Raw genomic sequence first — 14908 nt, forward strand, 5'->3', positions numbered from 1 at the left:
ATGTTTTCAATTTGAGTGGTATGTAATAAAATACAAATTTCATATTTGAAGGTGCCTTTTTGGTTAACGAAGAGGATGTTGCTGAAGACCTACTGTGCTCATCAGGTATGAGGAAAATAGAGGTCACCCCAGGGAGCCTATAGATTAGTAGGTGAGCCAAGCATTTCTGAGTAATACCAACAGTAACTAATGCTCTAATAGGGTCTGGTAAAAACTTCTCTGAGGTAAAGAGATGCTGAAAGGTGAATATGAGTGAGTGAGGGGAAAAGCTGGGAGGATTCCGGTCAACCTCTTGTTTTTGTTCCCACCAATAGCTACCAGGTAGGGATTGCTGGATTAAATAAAACTGGAAACCTTCCTTCTAGCTGGGGTCCTCATGGAAAGACACTGGCCTCATGGAGCAGGAGGCCTGGGTCTCATCCCTGCTCTGCTCCAGAGGGGTTCAAATGAGCAGATCTTTCTGGGTCCCACTTTCCTCATGTAAAATGGAGGGGTGGCAAATGTTGGTGCATGTGTAGCGTCTGATGCTAGGAGTAGGTGCATTTATATCACACAAGGCTACCGACTTGCACCTGTGTTCTGGGAGCCAATCCTATTCACCACTGGATTTAATTTGCTCTTCTTGGGGAAGTGACCAATGTATGGATTCAACTGGGAAGTTATCCTGGGCTTCTGATGAGTTGCTGTGTGGTCCAGAGAGGCACACACTTTTGTGCAGCCTTATAAAATGGGATGTTTTGGCATCTGTAGCTGCTTCCCTTGGCAGGGAGCAATGGCCTGAGTCACTCACCCTCTTGGTTCTTCCAAGTGCTCTCCACTCCCCGCTTCCCTCTGCTGATGACATACCAGGAGATTCTTCAAACTAGTGTTGACTTGGCTTGAGAGATGGTATTAAAGAGCAGTTACTACTGTACATATCCTTTTAAAAAAGGATAATCACTGCGCCGAATCTGAGGCTGTGAGGCATTTAAAATTGATGTTGATATTTCTTCCTTTTTAATTTTTTTCAGTAATAGTTCTCCCTCTTTTCTGTCCGACGTAAGGGAGGAACACAGCTAGCTCTTCATTGCAGGCTTATCTTCCCCGTTGCCCTCCTGAAATCCTGTTAGTTTCTTGAACCCAAATTTATTGACATATTATTCATTATAACAGAAAATATTAAAGGCTGCTAAAATCTGAGCCATCATGCTTAGCTGAGATTCCTGAAAGACTATAATTTTAACAAGGAAGGCTCTCTTGTTAAGAAACTATGTAGCCCCCCGCCTCTCCACCCCGTTCTTAATATTAATGTTACATTGTCCTCTGTCTGTAAGCTGTTTCCTGATAACGTGCATTGTCATTGGAGAGGAAGACTATTCTTCCCCCAGCTCAGATGTAGATTACTAAGTAAAAAGTCCCCAGAGGACCACATGACCACATGATCCAGGAATCAGAATAGTGAAGGGAAGGCTCCAAGCATGGCCTGGGAGGTCTAAGTCAGGGATACAAATGAAGCTCTGCATCTTGGGGTTTCCTTGCAGATCCTTTTCCTGTGCTTCAGTCCTTTCCACCTTACTCTCCCTTAACGTCCTGGAAACATGAAGTTGTCTGAGTGTCTATTAAGTAGTTCACTTGGCTGTCATGTAGGGAGCAGACAATGATGGTGTGCTTCCAGCAGGCAGAACAGTTCAAAGGCAGGGTGCAACCTCTGCTTTTCCCCCCTCAGACATGACTGTAAGTCTAAATTCACTGTAAATAATGTGTACAGTGGAATAAGTTTTGTAAATAAATACGCATAGCATAGCGCCACGAGGTTACTTATTACAGCTGCAAAGGGCTATTGAGACATCAATACATCTTTTGCTTTTATTGGTGAACAATACTCTGTTGCATGGATATGTCCCATTTTATGCATTCATGAGTTGATGGACACTTGGCTGGGTGGTTTCCATGTTATCGTCATGATGAATAATGGTGCTGTGAACATTTGTAAGCAAGTTTTGGTGTGGACTGTTTTTCACTTTTGGGTGTATGCCAGAGAATTGAATTTCTGGGTCACATGGCAACTGTTTAACCTTTTGAGTAATAGCCTTTTGAGTATTTTTCAGAGCCACCGTATCATTTTACACTCCCACTGCTGTTTGAGGTTCCAGTTTCTCTGCATCCTTTCCAATACTTGTTGCCTGTCTTTTTAGAAAAATAGTTATTGTAGTAGGTGTGAAGTGGTATCGCATTGCTGTTTTAATTTGCATTTACCCACTAATGATATTGAGCATGTTTTCATGTGTTTATTGTTCACTTATATACATTACAGTAGAAATCTTGAGCTTAATTCATATCGTTGTACCTATTCTGAGAGAGCTTTGATTCATTCATATCTTACTTAAATTTCTACTTAAATGGTGGTTTTAAAAAGAGCAGTTTGGAGACAAGAATGCTTATGTTATTTAGGAAAAAATATCATTATCGAGGAAGGTCTCTTTCTGAACAACAACAGCAAAATTTTATTCCAAAATCGAATGCCAATTGATCGTGGTGAATTAAGTGTTCTAGTAATAAGCTGCTGGCTCAGAAGTTAGGAGCCTGTCACATTAGAATGATCCTTTTCCTGGTGGGAATTCCATGTTTCTCTTTATTGAGAACTCAGAACAATTGTAAACCCCTTCAACCAATACTCTACTCCTTCTACCTCTTCAGGATTTCAATGCAAAAAAAAAAATTCTTTTCAATCAAAACAATTACTTTTCTCTTTCTAGGGAAACGTAACAGAGATGGTAGTTTTGCATGAGTTGGAGCCACCAGTTATTTTTGACCCACTCAGGTGTTCATACTTCGTCAGTAGGAAATTCAAGGAACTGATCTTTTATGTACAGTAAAATAAAAACAAATGGGGAAAAAAATCTGCCACTTATGTTCCTAAAGCGTACAGTTTAAGATAACAGTCCCCTCTGTGCCAGCACATCCCTGTATAGCCTTTTCAGAGTTCAGCATGAGGTGTATTTCAATGGCAGCAAGTTCAGTCTTGTTCACAGGTGTATCTAAGTAAAAGGGATTTTGCAGCTGGGATTGATCAAGGATCATCAGACGAGAAGAGTATCCAGGTGAGCCCAATGTAATCACAAGCGTCCTTATTAAACAGAGGTAGGTGGCTCACTGTCAGAGCAAAAAATGAGACGAGAAGACAGGACCGAAGGTGGGAGTGATGCAGTTTGAGGATGGATAAGGGGGCCACAAGCCATGGCATATTAGCAGCCGTTAGAAGCTGAAAAGGGCACGGTATTGGATTCTCTCAGAGCTTGCAGAAAAATCCAGCCTTGCTAACACCACCAGCACAGTGAAACTGATTTTGGACTACTTACTTCCAGAACTGTAAGAAAATTTGTGTTTTAAGACAGAAATGTGATAATTTGTTAACAGCAGCAACAGGAAATTACTGCATACTTTAATGCTTTCTTTGTCCTTTGTTAACACAGGGGTTAGACATTTGATGTTACTGCTTAAGTAACACTCAGTGTCAGGCACACTTCTAAAAACTTTCAGTGTATTATATACACAGCAGACATTCAAGCACAGATAAGGAAATGAGCATGTACTTAACATTCCCCAAGATCATAGAGCCAGTAAACAGCTGGGATTTGAACCCAGACCACCGGACTGTAAAAGTGTACAGTATATCGAATGCTACTTAGCTGGGTTAGGCCACATGACTGGTGAAATTCAGCTGGTAATGTAGTTTGGAAACCATAGAATACCTACCCCTACAAGCAAGAATTGTGTGGTTGATAAATGCTGTAAAGAATGTTAAAGGAGTTCCTTAGACTGGGGTATAGGTTGGTCAGAGAAGGCTTTGAAGAAGGTGATATTTGAGAACTGAATATTAGAAAAGCCGGGGAGGTGAATTTCAGGTGGGGAGCAAGCACAAAAAACTTGATTAGGCTGCGGATTGCTGACCATGATAAGAGTTCAAGAAAGAAATAATTGAAAGTCCAGAAGAATGTTCATTGAGAGCACTATATGAACCCTCCCTCCCATTGTGTGGATTTGGTCACTGACTGGATGTCATGCAAAGGGTAGGAGGAGAGAAAACCTTACACATTCCCATTCTGCCCTGTGTGAGGTCTCAAAAGTAGTTAGTATAAGTTATAAAGGAATTATCTGCCTGTACTTTGTATTGATAAGCTACTTTTTAATTTAATTTAATTTAAGTGATACTTTGTTAGAAATTGTCAATGAACTTGATAACATCAAAAAATGCAAGCTGATATTTTGGATCACTAAGGCTGCAATATATGCAGAAATCTTAAAATTTTTACTCAAAGTGATTATGATTTTGTTTTGCCTATTAGGTGATTTTATATCTAATGTTAATACATTCTAGAACTTTCATATGGGGATAAAATACTAATAATACTAATAATTATTCACACACAGTATTTCAAAAGTAATTTTAAGTACAATTTGATTTTAGGTTAGTTGATTTATTTTTGCTTATGTAAAAAATCACATAAGATTCACTGTTGTAACCATTGTAAAGAGTACAGTTCATAGACTTTTAGTCCTTAGTGCATTCCTTCCTTCCTTCCTCTTGCTTTTTTTTTTTTGAGACAGTGTCTCACTAGGTCACCCAGGCTGAAGTGCAGTGCTGTGATCCCGGCTCACTGCAACCTCTGCCTCCTAGGCTGAAACGATTCTCGTGCCTCGGTCTCCAGAGGAGGTGGGACCACAGGTGCGTGCCACCACGCCTGGCTAATTTCTGTATTTTTAGTAGAGACGGGTTTTGCCATGTTGGCCAGGCTGGTCTCAAACTCCTGACTTCATGTGATCTGCCCACCTTGACTTCCCCAAGTGCTGGGATTACAGGCGTGAGCCAGTGTGCCCGGCCACTTAGTACATTTCTGGAACTTTTTCATCACTCTCAAAGAGAAACCCGATATCCATTAGCAGTAGTCCCCCCTCCTTTCCCAGCAACCTCTGGCAGCCAGCAATGTATTTTCTGTCTTTGTGGGTTGGCCTATTCTGGAGACTTCGTAGCAATGGAATCCTGCAATATGTGGCCTCTCTGCCTCCCTGTTTCCCTAGCTATGTTTTCAAGGTTCATCCACGCTGCCCCATGAAATCTTTTTTACGGCTGAATATCCTATTGTAAGTATATGCCATATTTCGTTCATTTATTCATCATTTGATGGACAGTTGGGTTGTTTATACTTTTTGGATATTATGTATAATGCTGCTGTGAACATTTGTGTTCACGTTTTACATGAGTGCCCAGGAATAGAATTGAATAATTCTATGTTTAACTTTTTGAGGAACCCACACTTGGCCTAAGTAGCTTTCCCACAATTGCTGTATGAGGTTTCCCGTTTCTTCATCTTCACCAACGTCTGCTGTTTTTCTTTTTGTTTTTATTATAGTCATTCTAGTGGATTTGTCTTAAGTTCACGTCTATGGAATCTTTAACAAGTACATATATTTTAACTTCCTATTTGTCACGTAGTACATTGTGTTTCATATGTAAGGGAGAGCATTTTTTTTTTAGGCAAATTCATAAATATAAGCTTGAAGTGGGAAGAAATGTATTATAGTTTTATTAATGTGCACATTTTCCTAATGTAAATACAGGAACAAAGTAGAGACAAGCGACTGAGTTGTTTTCATTATCTCATATTTTGGATTCTTGTTATTTATGTTAAAAAGTTTGTTTTTGGGCTGGGCGCAGTGGCTTATGCCTGTAATCCCAGTGTTCTGGGAGGCCGAGGCAGGCGGATCACTTGAGGTCAGGAGTTCAAGACCAGCCTGGCCAACATGGTGAAACCCCATCTCTATTAAAAATACAACATTACCTGGTCTTGGTGGCACGTGCCTGTAGTCCCAGCTACTTAGGAGGCTGAGTCAGGAGTATCACTTGAGCCCGGGAGGCAGAGGTTGCAGTGAGCTGAGAGTGCACCACTGCACTCCAGCCTGGACAACAGATTGAGACTGTCTCAAAAACAAACAAAAAACAACAACAAAAAACTTTGTTCGTTTCACAGTTACTTGGCTATGTGTTCTAAGTACCTTTTGCTCAGTGCAGAGTGAAAGACCATCTCTAGGGAACGAAGCCTTACTGGCAAGACTAGGGGCTGCTGCAGCCAGATGTCCTTCATGGCCTAGGAAAGTCATGCGTTTTTTCATTGAGTATGTAAAGTCTTCATGAAGTACGCTGAATAAGTGCAGCCATAAGCATACATCACATGGGATTTTGCAGTAATGAAGTTAACAATTTTTACAACAGTGCAACTTTGGATCAAATAAAATACAGTACAATTTACACGGGCTTGGTTTCTGAGGCAAATGTGCCCTTATTTTTATGCTCTGAATTCATTCTTAGTCTTTAATCACAGGTTCATTATGGATGTGATTTAAACATTACATGTCAGTGAACATAAATTATAACTTCAAACTGATACTCAAAATGGGTCTAGTGTGGGTCTAGATGGACAACTGTCTTACATGTTCATTTAAGAGGTATTTGGAGACTGAAGCTGTTTGTAAAAGGGAAAAGTCTCTCTAAGCAAATGTTATTTATTGATTTTTTTTTTAATTCGCCAAGTTGAAAGACCCTTGGTCGAGAAATTCTGTATCAAATTTAGGGGAGATAATCAAAATATAGAAAAATAAGAAATCTTTTCTCAAATCTTTAAACTGTAGATGGTGGGATTTTAAAGAAACTCTTCTGTTTCTCCTGCAGAAAGTGAGCTGTTTCCGGATGCTATGTTGTGTCTTTTAGGACGACACTGGCATGCTGTATATCCTTGCAGCAGCCCTCTGCAGACCCACGGACACCCCCTTCTCTTGTTTAAACATCTTCCAGATGTGTTTCTTTGTATCACACTGACAAGCAATTCCACCGTCTTCTGAGTTTACTGTTGTCCATGTAATTTTGTTTATGATGTTTTTGTGCTGGTGGTTTTTATTGTGCTCTGCATTCTGACTCAGGAAGCCCATCTCCTTTTTCTATTTACGGTAATTACTAGAGAGCATTTTATTTTGGCCTCTGGGGCGTGTCTGCTGTGTTTCTTTGTGTGGGCATGTATGTTAAAATTGGAAAGTGTTTTCTTTGAGGTCAGGGCTTTTGTAAGGTGTTCTAAGAAGTTTGTCAAACCCCAACTAGCTTTAAAAAATTTTTTGTTTGTGTAATATAACCTGTTTACTATTTCTGCTTATAAGCGTTTCTATCATCAACTTTAATGTTAGTAGGAAGAAAAACTTTCTCATCTTCATATATTGACTTTAATTAGTGATTAGTTTCTGGTGATGAGATATATTGAATCAAAGATGGTCTGGTTTTTCCAATATCTCCTTTCTGCTATTATTAAATAAATGAAGAATCACAACAGAGTTTCCCGATACTGGTACTAACACACTGTTTTTGTGTTGTTGGTGGATTAGGACTGAATTACCTCTGACTCAGAGATTCAGGGTTAATGAGATTTTCATCATTGAGTTGGGGCAACCGAAGCTTTGAATGGATGATAGCAGATTGATTCTGTTTCTTGAAGCCAGTAGGTGCTCGTTTTATGTTTCAGTGAATGAAAACTTGTGTCCACTGTAACCTTTTTGCTTTTTCTGAGAATAGTGAATTCTCATTTTCAGAGAATTACTGTCAAGAAAAACATGTATCAAGCCATTCCGTGTGCTCTGTTTAAACAGTTACCTGGTTTCCTTAGTTACAAAGGTTTCCCTTCTTTCTCTCTACAGTTAGTTACTAAGCTTTTAACGCGTACCAGTCTTGATGTTAAGGAGTTGTCAGAATATAGATTTTTTCATGCCAGGAGGCTGATTTGGGAGATGGCGGGACTGAATTCTAGAGCAGCCATTCTGAGTTTATAAGATCTCTGGCACAGGCCATACCCCAACCAGTTAAGTCAATGTGAGGGTGAGGAAGTCATTAAGTGGTTTCCAGGGCGGCCATGCCTGACCACTAGTATTCTAGGAGAGTGCTCCCAGTGAGTGCTGCAGAAGCTTGAACACAAACCACCAGCAGTGGTGATAAGAAGACTTGTTAGAAAGGTAGGAATGTAGCTTTCTAGGAAATGCAGTGAAGAATGTTTTAGGGAGAATCTTTGCTTCAGGAGCTCAAGGATTATGGAAGAAGAAATTCAAACCACAGTGTGTAGGTATAGCAGCATGGTGTGACTCGCAGGTTGGTAAATAAAAACTTTTCTGAGTGGGAATGATTTTCTGCAGTCTCCCTGCAAGTCGTAGGGTTTACTCCTTTGGATGTTGCGCTGCTGTATACTTTACTGTCCCAACAGCTTTTCTGACGGTATGTCCTGCCCCTGATGTGGCATCCAGAGGTTGCTCTTCTGGATTCTTCCTGGATTCATTGACTGGAGAGAAAGTTCATTTCACTGCCACACACATATTTTTGATTTGCGGCCGCCTGAAACCTGAATAGTCTTGGTGTTGCTCAGAGAGTATCTCATGACTATATTTTTAGCTACCCGCGTGGGCAGGCCCTAGGCAGTGTCACTTCACTCACTCGGCCCCTCATTTTTCTTATTTGCATTGAAAGCCTAAGTATAAATAAGGCTATCTGTGGGTAGCGGTGGGGGGTGTGTGTTAGAGAGAGGTGGGTAGGGTTGATTATAACCTCAGCGGGTATTAGAATTTCCCCACCAGCAGTGACAGATGGATTTCTTTTTCCTTTTTTTTTTTTATTTGAGATGGAGTCTCCCAGGCTGGATTGCAGTGGCACAATCTCTGCCTCCTGGGTTCGAGCAATTCTCCTGTCTCGGCGTCCTGAGTAGCTGGGACCACAGGCACCCGCCACCATGCCTTGCTAATTTTTGTGTTCTTAGTAGAGATGGCATTTCACTGTCCTGGTCAGGTTGGTCTTGAACCCCTGACCTCAGGTGATCTATCTTCCTCGGCCTTCCAAAGTTTTGGGATTACAGGCGTGAGCCACCACGTCTGGCCGACTGATGAATTTCTAAGTCCTCCACTGTTACATTAGCAAAACCAAAACCTCATCTCTTATGAGTTAGGGCTTGTGATGTCAAATGTAGATTTTCAGAGAATGGCTCTTGAGTAATTTCTCTTTCTATCCAAGACTCTTCTGTGTTAGTCATTCTTTATATTTTATTTATTTCTATTTTATTCCTTTATAATATTTAATTAATTAATTTTTTTTGAGACTGAGTCTCACTGTGTAGCCCAGGCTGAAGTGCAGTGGCATGATCTCAGTTCACGGCAATGCCTCCTGGGTCCTGGTTCAAGCAGTTTTCTTGCCTCAGCCTCCCAAATAGCTGGAATTACAGGCATGTGCCACCATGCCCAGCTAATTTTTGTATTTTTTGTAGAGACGGAGTTTCACCGTGTTGGCCTGGCTGGTCTTCAACTCCTGACCTCGTGATCTGCCCGCCTCGGCCTCCGAAAGTCCTGGGATTACAGGAGTGAGCCACTGTGCCCGGCCTATTTATCTTATTTTTATGAGACAGGGTCACACTCAGTTGCCCAAACTGGAGTATAGTGGCTCAATCATAGCTCACTGTAACCTCAGAATGCCTGTGTTCAAGCGATCTTCTCACCTCAGCCTCTTGAGTAGCTTGGACCACAGGAGTGTGCCGTCATGCCTAATTTTAAGTTTTTAACTAATTTTAAATTTTTGTTGTTGTAGAGATGAGGGTCTCTTGCTATATTGGCCAGGGCTGTCTTGGACTCCTGGGCTCAAGCAATCCTCCTACCTTAGCCTCCCAGTGTGTGAGAATTACAGACATGAGCCACTGCGCCCAACCTAGTCTTTCTTTTTTAAAGCATTGTTTTCCCAAAGGCTCTGAAAACCTTGTTAGCCAAAAAAAGGCACAGCAAGGTCCGCCAACCTTGACTTGACTTCACTCCTGACTTTTAAATCAATACATAAAGGCTTTTGTTTATTTTTTGTTATTTTGCTCTTCAGTAAATTAGGGCACCTAAATTTATATTCTGAGTTTCGATTAAAACCACCCAACTACATTCATGTCTCTGGACTGAACTTTGGTATTTTCTCTAAGGTCTGTAACAGGTAACAGCACATTGAAAAATTCAGTGGAGGTGACTCCATTTACTGAGTTGAAAACCTTTGGATGTATTCGACTCCCTTTTTTCACACACGCCACATCTAGTCTGTCAGCCTTCTCTTGGCCCAGTGTTGTAAATGTTCCAGAATTTAACCAGTTGTCAGTCTTTGGCACCACCCTGGTCCTCATCTCTTGTACAGGTAACTGCCTCAGCCTCCCTTGTTTTTCCACACCACTGTCCCCCATGATTTACCCTCAACACTGCAGTCAGTGCTCAAAGTCTGCTACTTCTTTGCTCCGAAGTCTCCAGTGGTTTCCCATTTAGAGCAAATTTCTTATCTCCCCCACTTCCTCCTCTGTCCTTTCACACACATCACCGAAGTGTAAATGGTAAATTTCTACATACATCCACTTTGCTTATAACACACCTTTTGTTTCTTGTATGATTGCAAACTGTAAGGATAGGAAGAATCGTAACTTTGCTTCTTGATAGCCATATTTGCTTTCCCTAGCAGCTTTAACTTAAAATGAAGTTGTATGTATGCCATACCACCTTTTTTTTTGGCGGGAGGGTGGGGTCAGTCCTCATGGCTTTGGGTAAGTGTGAATTTCTTCATTAAACCCCCAACTGCCACATTATTCCAGCGTCATAGAGCTAAACAACTGCAAGAAACCTCATTCTGCATAAAGGAAGAAATGTTGGAACTGGCTGGGATGCACGGACCAAAGAAGAGGTTCAGTTTTGTTTAGGTAGCTGAAACAATGGTGATTGTTGTAAAGTATTGTTAGAGGTAGAGTTAAATCTTGTCTTTGGATTGGGAGCCCCCTTTTTTTTTTTTTTTTTTTTTCCCTGAGATGGAGTCTTGATCTCCCAGGCTGGAGTGCAGTGGTGTGATCTCAGCTCACTGCAAACTCTGCCTTCTGGGTTCAAGTGATTCTCATGTCTTAGCCTCCAGAGTAGGTGGGACTACACATGTACCAGCATGCCCCACTAGTTTTTGTATTTTTAGTGGGTTCCGCCATGTTGGTCAGGCTGGTCTTGAACTCTTGACCTCAGGTGATCTGCGCCCCCCCCGCCTCCCAAAGTGCTGGAATTACAGACATGAGCTGCCCCACCAGGCCTGGAAGAGGAGTCATTTAATTTGTCGAAAATATATCAGTTTAAGTGTTATTGAGGTCTTCTCTCAGGGTTACATAGGATCATGCATTCTTTGCAATACAGAACGAACAGCCAGCCTTAGGTCAGTAAGTGAAACAGACATAGCTGGTAAATTAAGACTACTTGTTTATTTCTAGGTGCCAACACATTGGTATGAAAAAGAATTGAGAATGGACTTTTTATTCTTGTCTCTTGAGAAAGGCAACTCTATTTACCGTAGCATTACTGTTGAAGTCATGATCAGTATGCAGTTAGTAAACACTGGCATTTGTTTGGACACGGGGTCTGACGATGAGAGCTTTTGCCCCTATGAGATGCTCATACCTTATCAATTAGGGGTGTTGGTAGTTGTGTAGAAATTAAAGCCTGTAAGGGAAGTTAGGCTGATGATAGGTCTTTATGGGCTCTGCAAGGAAATTTGGAGTTTTCTTCTGAGATTCTGGGGAGCCATGGAAAGGCTTCAGTAGGGGAAGTGGTGACATGGATGGTGTCAAATTGCAGCGTGGCTGTGTTTGTAGAGAAAGAACGTGGGGTAGATGGTTGGAATTGGGATTAGTTGGTGGTAGAGACATTTTAGGAGATTTCTTGTCTTTGGAAAGAGATGAGATTTCTGGTTTAAATAGGTATCCAAGGAATTGAGAGACAGACAGGATTACCTGGATTTTGAAAGCAAATGTCAACAATGAGAAAAAAAGTGCCAAGTCCAGTTTCGGTTTCTAGACCAGAGTAGCCAGGAAGGTGGTGTGGAGAGGGTTGTGGTGGGGAGGGAGGAGATTGTCAAGAAGATGATTTAGTAGTTATCAGTATTTAGATTATGATTGGAGATAAGGGGACGGCAGAAGAATCAAACTTGAAGGTGGTGGAGGTGATGAAACAGCAGAAAAGGTATTTTAGTGTGGCAGGAAAACCAGGGGAGAGTCCAGTTGCCGATAAAAAGTTTGCGTTAAATTTGGCAATTAGAGTGTTTCTCATGGCAGTGAGAACAGTTTTCCTGGAAGACTAGGATGAAAGTTGAATAGGCTGCATGTCTGCTGTTCAAACACCAGCACTTCTCACGTGTAATCCCTGAACCAGCAGCATTAGCATCACCTGAGAGAATCTCAGCGAAAGGAGGCTGTGCACAGTGTGTGTTCACAAGCCCTGGGAGTGTTCCTGATGTCTGCTCAAGTTTGCCACCATTGCCTTAGATAATTATTTGTTTTACACATGAGCCACTGTAAGATTCACAGAATTCCAGAATTGGAATCCAGGCTTCTTTGTACCTCTCACTCTTTCCACCTGCCACCTGTTTCCCTGTGTTGTGTCTTGGAATGGCCTTCAAGTGCCTGCTACGTGCTGGACTCATTGCTATGTCTCAGGAACATAAAAGGCGAGTAAGACACAGACTAGTCAGAATGTGATCTGTACTACTTCACACCTCTGAACCTCAGTTTCAGCATTTAAAAATGTTTGTGTGATAAGTATGCTAGTTGAAAAATGTGGAAGAGAATATGTACAGGAAATGTGTGTGCCCTGTCGCTTGGTGGACACACGTTATTAGTGGGAAATGCTTTTTGGAGGGAAAATGTGCATCAGAATGGTTTCTGGAGGCCCATACCTGTAATGAAAGGGTGCCAATCCCAGGGTGGTTATTAATTATTGGGAGGGCTGGAGGACACAGGAAGGGGTTAAGGCATATGAGACAACTTTATCTGTTTCTGGAAAAAATAAGGCAATATGTCAGTTTATGTTAAGTCCAAGGACAGAGTTTATTTGTAGACTTTCTGTTAGTGTGGAAATTTGCATGAGATAGACAAAAATAAACTGGTGGTTTGTAATATAACATGACCAGAGATAACCAGTCTTGTGACAATATACGTATACTTCTGTTTATTTCCTTGCTGGGGTTCGGGTGGGGTAGTTATTGTTCAACCAAAAAAGCCAGCGAGTCAGTCAGGCATTGATTGATCTCATAAAATGATCCCCCAGCAGTGTCCTGGGTCCTGGTGGAAGAAACAGCAGCACTAACTCCTTTCCATCACCCACAGGGCCGTAATTCTAACCAGCCCTGTCAGTAAGGGGCAACCATGAATCAAATCAAGCCTGTTTTGGCCACCCTGTGGGTACTTGGAGACTGGCTGGTGGATAGGACTGGTTTTTGTCTGGCCTCAATCCCGGAGGCTTTATTTTGTAGTGATTTCCTTAGAAAAGGATTTGAAGGTGTAGGAAAGCAGTGTGTCTTCAAGGCTTTGCAGACAGACTTTACTTCATCTTCAGGATGTTTCCTGCAAGAGGGGTTTCCTGCAAAACCCCTAGAGGCCAGATGTGCCCCACAGGACTGGAACCACTTCCAACCTGGAGAGTTGTATGAGTGGATGTCTGCACTTTGAATAGTTCTTGCCTGCTTTAGACTCTAATTTTCTTGTAAAAGATTTCTTATCTCCCACAGTTTTCTTGGTAAATGGAGTAACACATAAGGCACATAAGACTCTCAGGGACGTAGTAAAATGCACTATCACGTAACACGCAATGTCAATTGAAACCCTATCCAATTTAATGCAGATATGTCAGTGCTGTCCAAAAGAACTTCTTGTGATGACAGAACCGTTCTGTAGCTGTGTTGTCCATTGACAGGTGGTCGGATTGTGGCCATTGAGTAACTGAAATGTGACCAGCATGACTCAAGGACCTTAATTTTAAATTTTAATTGAGTTAATTATAAGTACTTACATGTGACTAGTGGCTACTGTATTAGACGGTGCAGATTAGAATGTGGCATTTGGGGATTTTTTGGGGGTATATCATAATGAACATAAAAAGGCATTAGTGATTAAAAGATCCAAATATTAGAATTTCTTTGTAAATAAATTAACATAAATTCCCAAGGAAATTCTAGTAACATAAATTCCCAAAGTGAAGTCATATATAGTTGCACACTGGCATTGGTGATATTGAACTATTTATTTGATTTGATTTTTGAAGACACTGGCCAATAATTTATTTGTAATTTGATTTCCTCGCCACCACTCCATCAGTGAAGGTACATTGACAATCCAGGTGTCTGTTAGATGCTGGAAGATAATCCTGCTGTAGATCTTGGGTCTTTTTTGATTACATTGAAAAAGCGAACCGTCAGATCCAGCACTGCAGGAGGTTTTAATGCCGTGTTGCGTGGTTCTGGCTGCTCTGTTCCCTGACTGCACCCTTTAACCATGAGCGTGCGGACGTCTTGCTGCCATGCTGCTGCCTTGACGACGGCGGATGTCTGACATGCTCAGACGCAAAAGAGCTGACTTGGCAGCTGCCCAGCAGATTTTTATAAAGGCTCAGTTGGTGGCCGGAGATTCAGCCTGTCAGAGTTGTGTTATGCAATAAATCGTTTTCAGCAGAAGTTCTTAATCCAATTTCAGCTGCAGCTTTTTTTTTTTTTAAATAGGCAGTAATCAAAGATAAGTACACATTATTTAATGGGAGTTTGGAAGAAGTAAAACTCTCCTTGCAGAAGCATTTTCAGGCCGTTTACCCTAACCTGGGAAGCATGTCTGTCTGAAGAAATTTGCTGCTTTGAAGTGCTTTTAATTTAAACCCTAGGCAAGGGAACATCATTCACAAGTTCAGTAAGTAAGTTTCTTCTCTCAAGATGTTTCCTGGCCCCTTATTTCCAGTTGTGAATGTTACTCAGGCTTCACTTTATTTGAATATTGACAGACTACTTTTTTTTTTTGGAATTAAATCAATTGGAAATTATTAGTAC

The 14908-nt window shown here is 41.3% G+C and overlaps 1 protein-coding gene across 14 annotated transcripts in view, besides 1 other annotated feature; it reads left to right on the forward strand.

The window, feature by feature from the left end:
• The window catches only part of JARID2 (jumonji and AT-rich interaction domain containing 2), a 275974-nt gene that overhangs the window by 104981 nt on the left and 156085 nt on the right, over positions 1-14908 (forward strand). For 5 of the 14 annotated variants that reach the window (XM_011514579.4, XM_017010833.3, XM_047418744.1 and 2 more), the window contains one exon: positions 52-105. The exons of the other annotated variants lie outside the window; for them this stretch is intronic. In XM_011514579.4, coding sequence (XP_011512881.1) covers positions 52-105 — 54 coding nt within the window. The remainder of the gene's footprint in view (positions 1-51; positions 106-14908) is intronic. 14 annotated transcript variants of the gene reach the window in all.
• Positions 12887-13046: an enhancer, noted in NCBI's record as "active region_24077". NCBI's record gives its function as "activates an Ori minimal core promoter by ATAC-STARR-seq in GM12878 lymphoblastoid cells {active_cell/tissue: GM12878}" and the evidence as "EXISTENCE:reporter gene assay evidence [ECO:0000049][PMID:35858748]".

This window comes from Homo sapiens, chromosome 6 (assembly GCF_000001405.40).
Source record: "Homo sapiens chromosome 6, GRCh38.p14 Primary Assembly".
NCBI lineage: Eukaryota > Metazoa > Chordata > Mammalia > Primates > Hominidae > Homo > Homo sapiens.